Here is a 17,218-nt window from a genome sequence, read left to right on the forward strand (position 1 = left end):
AAGGAATCCTGACTTCCTTGACTCCTTCAGTCCTTAAGGTCTCAGCAGTACCTAGAGGATGGCTTATCTCGTGGTTAGAATATTCCAGAAACAGACACTAGAGGAGGGATTTTATGGCTTTAGCCTGTGAGTAAAAGGAATGCTGCTGTCAGTTTTCTATCCAGCACTATTTCTAACCTCTTATTCAATAACTTGTTACCTTAGTCATTAATTTCTCATATGTAACATGGCTTTTTGCCTGAAGAAAATTACAGGAGTACTACATCATTGAATTTCTATCATCTATTATAGGTGTAATATTTTCAAATAATTTCAGAAGTCTGGTTAAACATGACCTCCCTTAACTGAAGCAGCAGTGAGTGTTTGTCATAAAATTTTTCTTACTATGAAGAATTTCCACAGTATCACTTTAGTAGTTTCCATTCTTCTTCCTACTCCTCTAATTATATTTACTCATCATATTTTTACATAAAATTATAATTGGCAGAGATTGATGAAGAAAAAGATGAAAAATATAAAAGACATGAGATGTTGACAGTATTTCTAATCATTTCTTACACTGAATTAAAAACACAGAGAAAACTGCATAAAATCTAAACGTGCAGCTAAAAAGTTATTATATAGTTAACACCTCTATAACCACTTTCAAGGTCAAGATGTGAAATAATATGAGCTCCCTGCACACCCATTCAAATCACAAACTGGTCCATTTCTTCTAAAGGCAATCACTATCCTCAATGTAAAGGTAATAACCACTCACTTTCTTTGTAGTATTACTACCTAAAGAATGATAACTCAATGGAATCATTCAGTTTTGCCTATTTTTGAGCATTATATAAATGGAATAATACATTATACATAAATGTGGGTCTGAATTCTCTTGCTCAATGTTATACTTGTGAGATCAGTTGAAAGTAGTGTGTGTAGTTGTAGTTCCATTTTCCTGTGATTGTTGTAAAGCATTTCAGTTGATGAATATATCCACAATTTATACAACAGTTTTCCTGTTAATGGACATTTGGATAGTTTCCAGTTTAGGGCTTTTATGATGAATGCTGTGAATATTCTTACACGTTTCTGAGTTCATATATAAATACATTCCTGTTGTCTATATACCTATGAGGAAATAGTTGCGTTTTTCATATTTTTAAATTACTAGATAATATCACACTGTTTTCCAAAGCGATAGCATGAATTTATATCCCCTAAAAGAAATAGTATGAGTTTTTCTACGTTCATACAAACAATGGGAATTTAATTTTATCTTCTTTTTTGGGTGCAATTTATTGAAACTTTAATATTCTTTTCCTTGATGACTAATGAAATTGAACAACTTTTTTTCAATTGTTTTACTGTACATGCCAATTTCCTCTTTATTCACATTTTTTACCCTTTTTTGTTTGTTTATATTTTTCTAATTGATTTGTAATTCTTTAGGTTTTCTGATTATGTGTCTTTTATTTAGAATTTTCAAATATGGTTTCAGACTTTAACTTTTTTTGTGATCAAATCTTTATGACCAAAGCTTACATTTAAAATTTATGATCAGGCCAGGTGCAGTGGCTCACGCCTGTCATCCAGCACTTTGGGAGGCCGAGGTGGGTGGACCACTGAGGTCAGGAGTTCGAGACCAGCCTGGCCAACATGGTGAAACTCCATCTCTACTAGAAATACAAAAAATTAGCTGGGCGTGGTGGCCAGCATCTGTAGTCCCAGCTACTCAGGAGGCTGAGGCAGGAGAATCACTTGAACCCGGGAGGCAGAGGTTGCAGTGAGCCGAGATCATGCCATTCCACTCCAGCCTGGGCAACAAGAGTGAAAGTCTATCTTAAAGAAAATAATAATAATAGTAATAATAAAAATAAAAATAAAAAATAAACTTAATGATCAGTGCTTTTTGTGTTCTGTTGAAAATTTTTGGCTCAGCATCTGGGGACGCTCTCAGCTCTCAGTGCCTGGCCCAGCTTCCTTCAAAATGTATACTATTTACGAAATCCTGTGCAAGCTCAGCTTGGAGGGTCATCACTCTACACCCTCAGGTGCATATGGGTCAGTCAAAGCCTACACCAACTTTGATGCTGAGGGGGATGCTTTGAACATTGAAAGGACCATCAGGACAAAAGGTGTGGGTAAGTTCACCATTGTCAACATTTTGACCAACAGCAGGAATGCTCGGAGAGAGGATGTTGCCTTTGCCTAGCAGAGAAGGACCACAAAGGAACTTACATCAGCACTGAAGTCAGCCTTACTGGCCACCTGGAGACAGTCATTTTGGGCCTATTGAAGACACCTGCTCAGTATGATGCTTCTGAGCTAAAAGCTTCCATGAAGGGGCTGGGAACTGAGGAGGACTCCCTCGTTGAGATCATCTGCTCAACAACCAACCAGGAGCTCCAGGAAATTAACAGAGTCTACAAAGAAATGTACAAAACTGATCTGGAGAAGGACATTATTTCGGACACATATGGTGACTTCTGCAAGCTGATGTTTGCCCTGGCAAATGTTAGAAGACCAGAGGATGGCTCTGTCGTTGATTATGAACTGATTGACCAAGATGCCCGGGATTTCTGTGATGCTGGAGTGAAGAGGAAAAGAACTGATGTTCCCAAGTGGATCAGCATGATGACCGAGTAGAGCATGTCCCACCTCCAGAAAGTATTTGATAGGTACAAGAGCTACAGCCCATCAAGAGAGAGCATCAAGAAAGAGGTTAAAGGAGACCTGGAAAATGCTTTCCTGAACCTGGTCCAGTGCATTCAGAACAAGCCCCTGTATTTTGCTGATTGGCTGTACTACTCCATGAAGGGCCGGGGGCTCGAGATAAGGTCCTGATCAGAATCATCGTCTCCCGCAGTGAAGTGGACATGTTGAAAATTAGGTCTGAATTCAAGAGAAAGTATGGCATGTCCCCGTACTATTACATCCAGCAAGACACTAAGAACGACTACCCAAAAAGCACTGCTGTACCTGTGTGGTGGAGATGACTGAAGCCCAACATAGCTTGAGCTTCCAGAAACGGTGCTCCCCACGCTTCCAGCTAACAGGTCTAGAAAACCAGCTTGTGGCTAACAGTCCCTGTGGCCGTCCCTGTGAAGATGACATTAGCATTGCCCCCAACCTCATTTTAGTTGCGTAAGCATAGCCTGGCTTTCCTGTCTAGTCTCTCCTGTAAGCCAAAGAAATGTACATTCCAAGCAGTTGGAAGTGAAATCTATGATGTGAAACACTTTGCCTCCTGTGTACTGTGTCATAAACAGATGAATAAACTGAATTTGTACTTTAGAAACAAAAAAAGGAAAATGTTTATATACCTTGAAGTTATGAATATATTTATCTATATTAACTTTTGGATCGTTTAGTATTTTGCTTTTTGTATTTTATTCTATATTGACATGACTCACATTTGAGTCTTTTTTTTCCAAATAAGCCTATCTAATTTTCTCATTACCATTTACTAAAACGATTGTATGTATACTAAATATTGTAACTTTATATTACAAAATTGTATCTGTAGAACAAGTCATGCCACATTGTTGTTCTTCAAGGAAACCTTGACAAATTCTATCCTTTCAATGTTCAAAAGGAAATTAAATAAGCTTGGCTAGGATTTACAAATCTATTATAATTTTGAACTGTAATCAATATGGGTAAAATTGTCATTGTTACAAATGAATCTTATAATCCTGATGATAACATAATACTTTATTAATTCAGATATTTTAAAATTTCTCTAGTGATATTTTATAGTTTGTCCAAATAGGTTGTTTGTTATATTTGTTTGATTTATTTGTAGATCTCTTATATTTTAATAACATTTAAATTGCATTTTAATATGTAATTGTTAATTGTTAATTATTGCAATAGACATACAATATATGTCTGTTTGTTTACTCTTGCTCATTACCTTATAAAAAGTTACACAAATTTGAAAATTACATAAGTGTTCTTTTTATGCACTTCTTTTTATGGATTTTATGCACAATCATATTATTTTACAAAAGTGAAATTTTATTTATTCCTTTTAAATATGTATATCTCTTTTTTTCTCCTGACTTACTTCACTATCTAGAACCTCCAGCATTATATAGAATATATAATACTCAAAAACTGGCAGGGTACTAAAGGTCCACTTCTGTCAGCACAGGCTCCTAGAACTGTAAGTTTGCATTAGCACCAATTCACGTGTTGTTGCATTTCTCCAATTAATTGTAAATTCCATTTGGAAGAGCAAATGGAAATATGTGACTGAATCCAGGCTGAGGATTTACAGAAAAGAGCTGATGAATTAAGAATTCTGGCAAGGGAGTCTTTTGGGTGGTCACTCATGTAATGCTGGCTCCACAGGAAAGTAAGTTTTCTCTTTCTAAAGAACATCAGCTGACTCCAAGTAAAAGAAGACTCAGAGGATGTCTTGATGGTGATAAATGGCTTGTTGTTAGTTTTAGAGTAAGAAATTTTGAAGAAGATGGGTTGTGTTCAGAAGGAATGTTATTGAAGTACACTAGGTTTAAGAAGTAGAAGACTTCTGAATAATTTATGGTTAATATAAAATCTTTTGAATTTTAATATGAGTCAAGTTCTAGTTCTTTGCATACAATTAAGGAATTGAGTCAATAATGATTTTAGAATCCAATCTTCATTATTAAGGCAATAATAACTTTGCTTCTGACTAAGAAAGAATAGCTTGCTGTAGTCCAATGTTTCTACAAGTGGAAAAGCCAAATAACATTTAAAACAAAGCAGAACAAAACAAAAGTTATTTCAAGGCAATACAAAAGTAATACAGGAATAATATGAGAGACCAAGATTCCAGAGTCATATATCTTGGAAAGATGAGCTAATAGCTGGTTACATTTCTTCATGGAACATGCAAATGCTCATTACAAGGTAATGGACTATGATTCCAGGCAAAGAGCTGAGCTGGAGGGCCATAAAGGTAGGTAGGAGGCAGGAAAACTAAAAGGCTAAAAAGTTGGGTTCTTGGAAAGAAGGTAGGAGCAGAGAACAGAACTGGTGCTGTTCTGGTTGCTATTACTGCATGATAAAAATCCTCAAAACATAACACCATCAAACAATGAACCCTTTTATTTTGCTCATGATGTTACATGTTTGGAATTCAAGAAAGCTTTAGCTGGGCAGCTTGAAGTGTCTCACCTGGTTGTAGTCGTTGTCAGCTGGGCCAGTCATCTGATATTTGGAGTTAAATATGCATCTAATAGGGCTCATTCTCATGGCCATTAATGCTAGGGTTCACCAAGGAATTCAGCTTAATCTGGTGACCAACGAGGCTACACAAGTCCTCTCCATCATAGCAACCTCTTGGCATTCAGATATTTTACATAATGGCTGGATTCCCAGGAGAACCAAACTAAAGTTCTCCAATATGTCACAAAATTCAGTGAGTGCCTGGAAGGTAAAAGCTTTTTTTGTTGTTGTTTGCTGGTTTTTTGTTTTTGTTTTTTTTTTATAAGACTCCTAATCCTCTATTACCTTCTTCCAAGTCTTCAGCTCCTGTTTCAAATTGTTTTTGACATTCTTGAACACACACCAATAATAATGATAATAATAATAATACTATTAGTAGTAGTAATAATAACAGCTAAAACAGATAGGAAGACATGATTTAGGTGCTATTAGGAGCGCTTTACTCTATTAACTTCCTTAATCCTCACCACAATCCTATTAGGTAGGAATGATTGTTATCCGTCTTTCACAGTTGAAGAAACTGAGTCACACAGAGGTTAAAAAACTTGCCAAAAATCACAAAGCTAGTAACTTGCAAAGTCTGGATTTGAATACAAGCAATGTGACTGGAGACTCCACGCTCTTTAACACTGTACTCTACTCATACACACTTTGGACTCATTAGGGCAGTTTGAAAACCAGACGCTGATAGGCATTAGGATCTAGACAGAGGGGATATTATTTTGCTTGATTTTCAAATAGTAGTCTGATGAGGAACTATTTAAATGATTTTTAGGGATCTTACTGAGAATAAAGAATGGAGTCAGGCTTTAAACACGGGTTTTCATACAGGACTAGAGCACTCTCTATGAACCAAATTATGAGTCTAGAAAAATTATTCCATGCTACTAAGACAAGTTGGGTGACGTTGGAAACTTTAAAATCTGCTCTTGAGGGGATAAATGTATCCCTGTCCTAATCTCACACCCATGTACACTTCCCCTACTGTCCAAACAAAGCCAAAACTCCTTTAAGTTATTTGGGTCATAAAAGCAAGTTTGTTTTATTGTTTCTCTTTCTATTTTCATCTTGAAACTTCTTCTCTTGCTGTATGCTTGTGATATAAATTATAAATTTAATTATAAATTTAAATTATAAATTATAATCCTGAGAAAGGTTAACTGACTTGTTAGAAAGGCTATAGAAGCTGAGATACTTACTGTCCCCTTGCGCTTGTTCATGCAGCAACAGTAGTCAGCTGGAGAGCGCCTCATGTATCCCAGCCTCTCTCTCTCTCTCAGGTAGTGGTGATGAATTTGAACTACCATTTCTATACTGAGGTAAAAGCTGTCTGCTTATTACAGCAGCGAGAGGACCCCCATGGGTGCAATGAATGGCACTTACATCATATATTTTCCTTGGGTGTAGCAGAACTTGTTCAGAGTGGATGCTCTTGGTACATGTAGCATGACTGATAGTTTTATGCTCAGCCTTTATAGGTCCACAAAGTCATATAAATAAATAATTCTATTAACTGCCAGGACTTCCTTGGAAATCACTGGGTATGTTTCTATGGGTCTTTACAAATTCCTCCATGACTATATAAGAATCTATATACACTGGAATAACTTAGGGAAAAGGTAAATAACCCTAATTTGCTTTCTGTGGCTTGATTTTTTTAATCCTCTTCTTCTTTCTTTCCCTATCCTTCTTTTTCTATAATTTGCTACCGTTGAAACATAATACGTAAAGGGAGTACCACATCTTTAGAACATGAAGCAAGGAAGTGAAGATACTTTGCCGATCAAAAACTAATTATTAAAAAATGGTTAAGAAATAGAACTAAAGAAAAATATTCAAACAATGAAGGTCCTAAATTAAAATAGACACAAAAAGCTTACTTTATAGACTTCAGCATTTTATGGTTGGTACACAGCTTACACATAAAATTAATTTTCTGGAACGTTGCTCATTAACATTTTTATTGTTTTCCATATTTTAAAATAATATCGTTATGTACCACTGGATAAAACTAATAGTGCATTAAAATGGTCTCACCTTAAATCAGAGACAGTTTGCTGTAACAAGAATTTTCAATTCTCTAATGACTTTTTTCTCTGCTATGAAAAGAAAAAGCTTCTATATTAAAATGATGTACACGGGCAAAAGGAAATTTATGATCTAAACTTGCTGCAAATCATTTGTATTGATCTGTTTTGTTTCCATTCTGCTGAAGCTAATGGAAATCATTTGTCACCTGACTTGTCCCAGCTGATTTGAAAAAAACACTGGACCATTTATCAGGCCAGCTGAAGGTCTGATACAAGTGTGCTTATGTCTGCAATCGCCAAGATACATTGAGTTTCTAGGCAAGTAGTGAATATATTAGGCTATATTGGTCATAGGCTTAAACAAATAAATTAAATATGAATGCATACATAATGCATTGTAATAAAACACTAAATAGGAAACTTATATTAGCCAGTAGAATACTCTACTTACAAGTAAGATTTTAACAGTTTTTATTTTGTAAGAGCTAAAATTAAAATATAATTATTTAATATTAATTCTGGTAATAGTGTATACTGGAAACAAAAGTAAAACATCATTACAACGCATTAAAGTCGATAAACAAGCTGCTTTTCTGACACAGACATTCTTTTGAGGTAGACTTTTCCCTTTGAAGAACATTTTTGGTGAGTCAAACATTTAATCCATGTAATTTCATAAATGATAAATCCCTTTGTTTTAAATTCATTTACATAAAAATAAAAGGTGTGTTTCTCTGCTTGTGTGTATGTAAGAGATTTTAAAGAGTTGATCTTGAGAAGTCAATTACGTTCTGTGTAATTTTCAAATTCTCATAAACACACTACCCCATTTATCCCAACCCACATACTTCAGCTGAAGGTGAAAAGAAAATATCTCTCACAAATCTTTTGTGATATTCTTTCAGGCTATTAAAGAGCAAAAATCTTTGTAAGAATAATGTATTCAAACTTTGTCATTATGGTATTTCATGTTTAAAATGTATCTCACATTAGGACAAATTTACCCATGAGTTAAACTCATATATAAAACAACATTATAGAGCCCAGTAAAGAGTGAACTACTTTCCAGAGTTGCACTGTATACTTAATATATGTAATGAGCATTCATTTGTATTTATTTTCCAATGTACTATTTTTTTCTATATCTCCTGCATTCCTTCTCTGGTAATTGTGCACTATCAATTTGAACAGCGTTTCAGAATTTGCATTTAAATGCTAAAATTGAAGAGGATAGTATGGCTCATTCATTCACTCTTCATTTATTTAACAAGTGTTTATCAAATACTTCTAGGAAGCAGGAATTCTGATAGATATGGGGATACAATGGTGTGAAAAAAGAATATATTCATGTTCTTTTAGAACATAAATAGGAACTGAGTAAGAGGATATAATTCATTTCATACGCTGTCCTTGTTTGATGACAAGTTCATGACATAAAGTTATTTGATAAAATATAGGAACATGTGAGCTAACTCAGGCTGTTCTTGATATTTGTTTCTTTTAGTAATCCAATTGTTAAACAGTATATTTTGATCAAAATTTTTTACAGGCTAATTACAATTTTCTGAACATCTAGAAAATTATGAAACATTGAGGACAAGTATTTTAAGTTTTTCATATTAAAAAAATCTGTCAGATATCCACTTTATATTTGTTGAATACGTGAGTTAGTTAATTAATAATAAATGCTGTCATCTGTTCCCTTATGGTTTAGTATTTTCTTTGTACTCTAAAATTAGAGGGGGCTAAAAATATCAGTCATATTTATAAATTTGACTCTCCAGCTCTGCTAAGTAAAATTTAAAGATTCTTATTTATCATTTGATGTCATTTGGGTACTAACCTCCTGTTTCTCATCATCGTGGTTCAAACTGTAGACATCAGATCAAAATTACCGGTGTCTTGATGTAATTCATTCATTTAACAAACTTTGGTCATTTGCATCCCTTGAACAGTGATGGGGATACAAAAGAAAATTATAGAAGGCCCTGGCCTCAGGAATTAACTTTACTGGAAGAGATAGTCATGTATAGGAAAAAAATTATATGATTTAACTTAATGTGTGATCTAAAGTTACAATTTTTGGGTATATAAAAAAGAGCAAATAACTGTTTATAGAACTCTGGAAAATCTTCACATAGGAAAAAAAAGAGAAGCATCCAGAAAAAAGGCGTAGAAGCTTATAGAGACATGGAAGGTCATGGGGCATTCAGGTCAATGTGAAAAATTCAACGTGGATGAAGAGGTATTCTATGACTAGTTAAGAAAGAATACTTTCTAAAGGCCACAGTAAAAATCAAAAAAACAAAAAACCCTCATATTTTTTATCAGAGGAACAGGAGGTCAATTTGTGTTTGGAAGAAGGGCAGAAAAGTGCTTTTTTAAAAACAAAAGATTATATGCTTAAATCATAAACAAATAATTTAGAAAATAGAGAAAAACAGAAAATAAAGATAAGTATATGGATTCTACTGCCAACCTACAACCTGGAGATACTCTGTGCTAACATTTCAGGTATATTGCAGAATATGTTTCTAATAATCAACTGGGTGTTGCAATATGGAATCATACTATACATACTGTGTCTCACCTGTGTCTGCAATAGATGATGTTGACAAGAAAATCTCTATATTGACAAGAAAATCTATCTTAAGTGCTGATCATTGTTAAATTTGAAAAGCGGATTTTACATGTTAAATGAATAGGGAATACAATCCCAGTAAGACAATAAAACATACTTCACTCCTTACAAAAATAACCTCCAGATGGATCAGAGATGTAAACAACAAAACAGGAAAAAGCTCTATAGTTTCTTAGAAAAATACATAGGAGCCTTTTATTTCGTGTATAATGACCTTTGATGGAAACAACTTCCAAGTATGACACAAAAGTGAGAAATCAGGAATAAAATATTGATTAATTTGTCTGTATTTTTAAATAATATGTTTGCTTGGAGAATGCACTGCAACCACAAAAGCAAAACAAAACCAAACAAAACACAAAATCTTGAAAGTAATTGTAACGCAAACCAAAAATATATAACTAATATGCTCAATATAACATTCTTTCAAATAATTTTATCTAGGAAAAGTCTTCAGATCATAGATATATAGATCGATAAACTATCACAAATGTAACTCCTTGTATAATTGTCCCTCAGCTCAAGGAATAGAATGTCACCAGTGTTCTAGAGGATTCCCTTGTGCCCCTTTCCTGATGCTACTTGTTCCCAAGAGTAACTACTGTTCTAATATCTTTAGTATAAATTATTTTCATCCAGCTAGTTCTTTATCTAAAAAGAATCACAGGTATGAATACTTTTTCTACAACTTCTGCTCCATGTATGTGATATTTCACCATATAGTTTATGTAGTTATAGATTGTTTATTATCCCTACTGAATAGCATTTCCTTGGGGCCTACCCCACAATGTATTCACTGTCTTGATATTTATTGGTTTACAGTTCTACTTACTGCTTTCGTGCCATATTTTTCTGTTCTCTAGATGACACTATTTCTCAGATGCCTTTAGTTGCTCTCAGAGCTTGCTGTCTAGAATTTCTTTCCCTTTGCTTGCACATCTCCCAACATGAATGTTTTTCTCCTGTAGAAAGAGCACACTTCCTTATTTTGGTGTTTCTTTCTGGCAGCTGTGTCATAGAGTACAATAGCTTAGGCTTCTACAAATGAACGCCAGCCTTGGAGATTTTTACAGTCTTCTCTTTAGTCATCAAGCATTCAGAAATAGGGAACATTGAAACTATGTTGAGGTGAGTTCCAATACAATGTTTACTGTATCAGTAAAAGCTACTTCCTTGCAACACCCAGGTCTTCCTACTGATTCCAGACTACCTCTCCCTGATTGAGTACCTGTTCTAAGTCACACAAAACTTTCCTGTAGCATGTTCTAGCTCCAAGCCACCCCCAAATACCTTTTTATTCTGAATTTTTACCAGGACAGGATAAGAAAGAAAGGATTTGGGCTATATTAGCTGTGCTCTTGAGGAATACACCATAAATAGAAATAGTAAAGGGAAAAAAATCTGCTTTAGAAATGTTTAAGAAATTGTTTAAGACGTACTAGAGCTTTGTACTAGACAGGAAAGTTTGTTGTCTTCAGAGTTCTAAAAGTTCTAGAAGTCTCCCTTATACCTCTTTGTATCTATATAGAAGTATTTTAATTATCCCTTTCAAAAGGGGTAATGCTCCCAATTTTGTGCTGATTCTCCAGGGAGACTCATTGTTTCATTTCGTAATCCATTAAGCCTTCTAATCATATTGGGGACTCCAAATAAATTGTACATTGTTGTAGTAACATTTTGGGGCCTATATGACTCATTTCTTTTGTCACTTGTATTATGTATTTAGTTTAGGATGGAAACTAGTTTTAAAAAGAAAAAAGCAATTTGACTATTTGTGCAAAAGTGGACAGAACTAGCATAAAAGAGGATGTTGCTTATGAAAGATACATAGGTAATAATTACTCTATGATGATTTGTGACATTAAATTTGTTTCTTTTTTATTTATTTTTATTTTTATTTTATTTTATTTTATTATTATTATACTTTAAGTTTTAGGGTACATGTGCACAATGTGCAGGTTAGTTACGTATGTATAGATGTGCCATGCTGGTATGCTGCACCCATTAACTCGTCATTTAGCATTAGGTATATCTCCTAAAGCTATCCCTCCCCCCTCCCCCCACCCCACAACAGTCCCCAGAGTGTGACGTTCCCCTTCCTGTATCCAGGTGTTCTCATTGTTCAATTCCCACCTATGAGTGAGAATATGCAGTGTTTGGTTTTTTGTTCTTGTGATAGTTTACTGAGAATGATGATTTCCAATTTCATCCATGTCCCTACAAAGGACATGAACTCATCGTTTTTTATGGCTGCATAGTATTCCATGGTGTATATGTGCCACATTTTCTTAATCCAGTCTATCATTGTTGGACATTTGGGTTGGTTCCAAGTCTTTGCTATTGTGAATAATGCCGCAATAAACATACGTGTGCATGTGTCTTTATAGCAGCATAATTTATAGGCGTTTGGGTATATACCCAGTAATGGGATGGCTGGGTCAAATGGTATTTGTAGTTCTAGATCCCTGAGGAATCGCCACACTGACTTCCACAATGGTTGAACTAGTTTACAGTCCCACCAACAGTGTAAAAGTGTTCCTATTTCTCCACATCCTCTCCAGCACCTGTTGTTTCCTGACTTTTTAATGATCGCCATTCTAAGTGGTGTGAGATGGTATCTCATTGTGGTTTTGATTTGCATTTCTCTGATGGCCAGTGATGGTGAGGATTTTTTCATGTGTTTTTTGGCTGCATAAATGTCTTCTTTTGAGAAGTGTCTGTTCATGTCCTTTGCCCACTTTTTGATGGGGTTGTTTGTTTTTTTCTTGTAAATTTGTTTGAGTTCATTGTAGATTCTGGATATTAGCCCTTTGTCAGATGAGTAGGTTGTGAAAATTTTCTCCCATTTTGTAGGTTGCCTGTTCACTCTGATGGTAGTTTCTTTTGCTGTGCAGAAGCTCTTTAGTTTAATGAGATCCCATTTGTCAATTTTGGCTTTTGTTGCCATTGCTTTTGGTGTTTTAGACATGAAGTCCTTGCCCATGCCTATGTCCTGAATGGTAATGCCTAGGTTTTCTTCTAGGGTTTTTATGGTTTTAGGTCTAATGTTTAAGTCTTTAATCTATCTTAAATTAATTTTTGTACAAGGTGTAAGGAAGGGATCCAGTTTCAGCTTTCTACATATGGCTAGCCAGTTTTCCCAGCACCATTTATTAAATAGGGAATCCTTTCCCCATTGCTTGTTTTTCTCAGGTTTGTCAAAGATCAGATAGTTGTAGATACGCGGCATTATTTCTGAGGGCTCTGTTCTGTTCCATTGGTCGATATCTCTGTTTTGGTACCAGTACCATGCTGTTTTGGTTACTGTAGCCTTGTAGTATAGTTTGAAGTCAGGTAGCGTGATGTCTCCAGTTTTGTTCTTTTGGCTTAGGATTGACTTGGCGATGCGGCCTCTTTTTTGGTTCCATATGAACTTTAAAGTAGTTTTTTCCAATTCTGTGAAGAAAGTCATTGGTAGCTTGATGGGGATGGCATTGAATCTATAAATTACCTTGGGCAGTATGGCCATTTTCACGTTATTGATTCTTATGGTAAAGGGATCAATTCGACAAGAAGAGCTAACTATCCTAAATATATATGCACCCAATACAGGAGCACCCAGATTCATAAAGCAAGTCCTGAGTGACCTACAAGGAGACTTAGACTCCCACACAATAATAATGGGAGACTTTAACACCCCACTGTCAACATTAGGCAGATCAACGAGACAGAAAATTAACAAGGATACCCAGGAATTGAACTCAGCTCTGCACCAAGCAGACCTAATAGACATCTACAGAACTCTCCACCCCAAATCAACAGAATATACATTCTTTTCAGCACCACACCACACCTATTCCAAAATTGACCACATAGTTGGAAGTAAAGCCCTCCTCAGCAAATGTAAAAGATCAGAAATTATAACAAACTGTCTCTCAGACCACAGTGCAATCAAACTAGAACTCAGGATTAAGGAACTCACTCAAAACCGCTCAACTACATGGAAACTGAACAACCTGCTCCTGAATGACTACTGGGTACATAACGAAATGAAGGCAGAAATAAAGATGTTCTCTGAAACCAACGAGAATAAAGACACAACATACCAGAATCTCTGGGATGCATTAAAAGCAGTGTGTAGAGGGAAATTTATAGTACTAAATGTCCACAAGAGAAAGCAGGAAAGATCCAAAATTTACACCTTAACATTACAATTAAAAGAACTAGAAAAGCAAGAGCAAACACATTCAAAAGCTAGCAGAAGGCAAGAAATAACTAAAATCAGAGCAGAACTGAAGGAAATAGAGACACAAAAAACCCTTCAAAAAATTAATGAATCCAGGAGCTGGTTTTTTGAAAGGATCAACAAAATTGATAGACCGCTAGCAAGACTAATAAAGAAGAAAAGAGAAAAGAATCAAATAGACGCAATAAAAAATGATCAAGGGGATATCACCACCGATCCCACAGAAATACAAACTACCCTCAGAGAATACTACAAACACCTCTACGCAAATAAACTAGAAAATCTAGAAGAAATGGATAAATTCCTCGACACATACACCCTCCCAAGATGAAACCAGGAAGAAGTTGAATCTCTGAATAGACCAATAACAGGCTCTGAAATTGTGGCAATAATCAATAGCTTACCAACCAAAAAGAGCCCAGGACCAGATGGATTCACAGCCAAATTCTACAAGAGGTACAAGGAGGAACTGGTACCATTCCTTCTGAAACGATTCCAGTCAATAGAAAAAGAGGGAATCCTCCCTAATTCATTTTATGAGGCCAGCATCATCCTGATACCAAAGCCGGGCAGAGACACAACCAAAAAAGAGAATTTTAGACCAATATCCTTGATGAACGTTGATGCAAAAATCCTCAATAAAATACTGGCAAACCGAATCCAGCAGCACATCAAAAAGCTTATCCACCATGATCAAGTGGGCTTCATCCCTGGGATGCAAGGCTGATTCAATATACGCAAATCAATAAATGTAATCCAGCATATAAACAGAACCAAAGACAAAAACCACATGATTATCTCAATAGATGCAGAAAAGGCCTTTGACAAAATTCAACAACCTTCATGCTAAAAACTCTCAATAAATTAGGTATTGATGGGACATATCTCAAAATAATAAGAGCTATCTATGACAAACCCACAGCTAATATCATACTGAATGGGCAAAAACTGGAAGCATTCCCTTTGAAAACTGGCACAAGACAGAGATGCCCTCTCTCACCACTCCTATTCAACATAGTGTTGGAAGTTCTGGCCAGGGCAATTAGGCAGGAGAAGGAAATAAAGGGTATTCAATTAGGAAAAGAGGAAGTCAAATTGTCCCTGTTCGCAGATGACATGATTGTATATCTAGAAAACCCCATTGTCTCAGCCCAAAATCTCCTTAAGCTGATAAGCAACTTCAGCAAAGTCTCAGGATACAAAATCAATGCACAAAAATCACAAGCATTCTTATACACCAATAACAGACAAACAGAGAGCCAAATCATGAGTGAACTCCCATTCACAATTGCTTCAAAGAGAATAAAATACCTAGGAATCCAACTTACAAGGGACGTGAAGGACCTCTTCAAGGAGAACTACAAACCACTGCTCAATGAAATAAATTTGTTTTTCTTAGAAAATACTAGGTCTCTTATTCTACCTAATAATTTTGTGCAAATATTTGCTTTGAAAGTCTATTGAGGCTAGGCACAGTGGCTCACGCCTATAATCCCAGCACTTTGAGAGGCCGAGGAGGGTGGATCACCTGAGGTCAGGAGTTCGAGACCAGCCTGGCCAACATGGCGATACCCATCTACAAAATTAGCTGGGCATGGTGGCGGGTACCTGTAGTCCCAGTACTTGGGAGGCTGAGGCAGGAGAATCGCTTGAACCCAGGAGGCAGAGGTTGCAGTGAGCCGAGATCTTGCCATTGCACTCCAGCCTGCATGACAGAGCGAGACTCTATCTCAGGGGGAAAAAAAAAAAAAGTCTATTGAGTTTTTTTTTTTCCAGCACAGAGTCCTCATCTGCAATCAGTTTCGAGAATTTTTGAAGAAAGTGTTAAATCCAGCTCCTATTTTTTTCTATGAGTGTATTCCACCCCCCATACCTCTGGCCCTGGGATATTGTGATTGTAATGTGTCTTCAATGCTCAGTAGACAACCATATTTAAGGTACTGTCTTTTAATTACATTGTTGATATCAATTGGCAGGTAACTGCCAATGGATTGGTCCACGGATACTAATTATGGCATACTATTTTTTAAGGTCTATAACTTCTGGGTGGGTATTTAAAATCATTTTGATAGTGACAGGAGGCAGCCAAATGTCTAGGCAGATGGGGGCAGATAGGGGTGGGTACCCGACGAAACCCCACCTCCAAGCCTAAGAAAATTTAAAGCCTGAAAGCCAAGCTACAGGTTAAATCCTCAGACCGATTGATAACTTTTTGTCCTGTTTGGAGCACTTTCCTTTAATTGATCCCCACCTTTCACCTATTTTGCATATACCTACCCTTTCCAAATTCTCTACACTGTCGTGCCCACCTTTAAGTGCTATTTTCACTTTAACCTCTTGCATTCTCACAAACCAATCAGCATGCACTCCCCATCCTGTGCCTATAAAGACCCCAGAATCAGTTGGTATAAGGGGAGATGGCCTGACTTGGGGAAGAGACAACCTGATTTTGAGGAGGTTGGCCTGCTTTCCTGTCCCTGCTCCAGCTCCCCTCTCTGCTAAGAGCCGTTTTCATCGCTCAATAAAGTTCTCCACCTTCACCATCCTTCAACTGTCCATGTGCTCTCTTTCTTCTTGGATGCTGGACAAGAGCGCAGGACCCACCGAGTGAGGGTACCAAGAAAGGCTGTCACACTGGCCCTTTGCCCTTGCCAGAGGAGGGCAGCTGGCCCACACGATGAGACAAGGGGCCAACTGAGCTGCTAACACACAACCAACTGCTGATGGCAGAAGTACAGGGACACTGCAACACCCCCTCTGGGGCTTCATGGTCGTGGGCACCCTCATCTGGGTGCCGCCACGTTCCCCTCAAGGTGACACAGCTGGTCTGGCCACGGGTCCTGCACGGAGCTTGTTCCTGTGTCAGCACCCAGAGCAGCCAGCTGAATCCTGCACTCGCTCACTCACGTGCTCCCTTCCACAGGGGGTTGAGTACCGGGGGAGGGGTAGAGGTGGCACCCCTGCCATGAGTCCGGCAAAGGGGCCGAGAAAAATCCCGCATCAATTTCAATAATGTACACCCTTGGAAGAATGTCAGGACTTCACGATGATGATCCATCTGCTCTTGGGCTCTAAGAGTGGTGCACAATATGTTGTGAGTGCCAGTGACTTTCATCT

The 17,218-nt window shown here is 36.8% G+C and overlaps 1 long non-coding RNA gene and 1 pseudogene across 2 annotated transcripts in view; both read left to right on the forward strand.

The window, feature by feature from the left end:
• The window catches only part of LOC105378336 (uncharacterized), an 88,286-nt gene that overhangs the window by 8,643 nt on the left and 62,425 nt on the right, over positions 1-17,218 (forward strand). The gene's annotated exons all lie outside the window — the stretch shown is intronic.
• On the forward strand, positions 1,932-3,281 carry ANXA2P3 (annexin A2 pseudogene 3; annotated as a pseudogene). Its single transcript, NR_001446.2, has one exon. The product of NR_001446.2 is annotated as an annexin A2 pseudogene 3 (transcript).

This window comes from Homo sapiens, chromosome 10, assembly GCF_000001405.40.
Source record: "Homo sapiens chromosome 10, GRCh38.p14 Primary Assembly".
Taxonomy (NCBI): domain Eukaryota; kingdom Metazoa; phylum Chordata; class Mammalia; order Primates; family Hominidae; genus Homo; species Homo sapiens.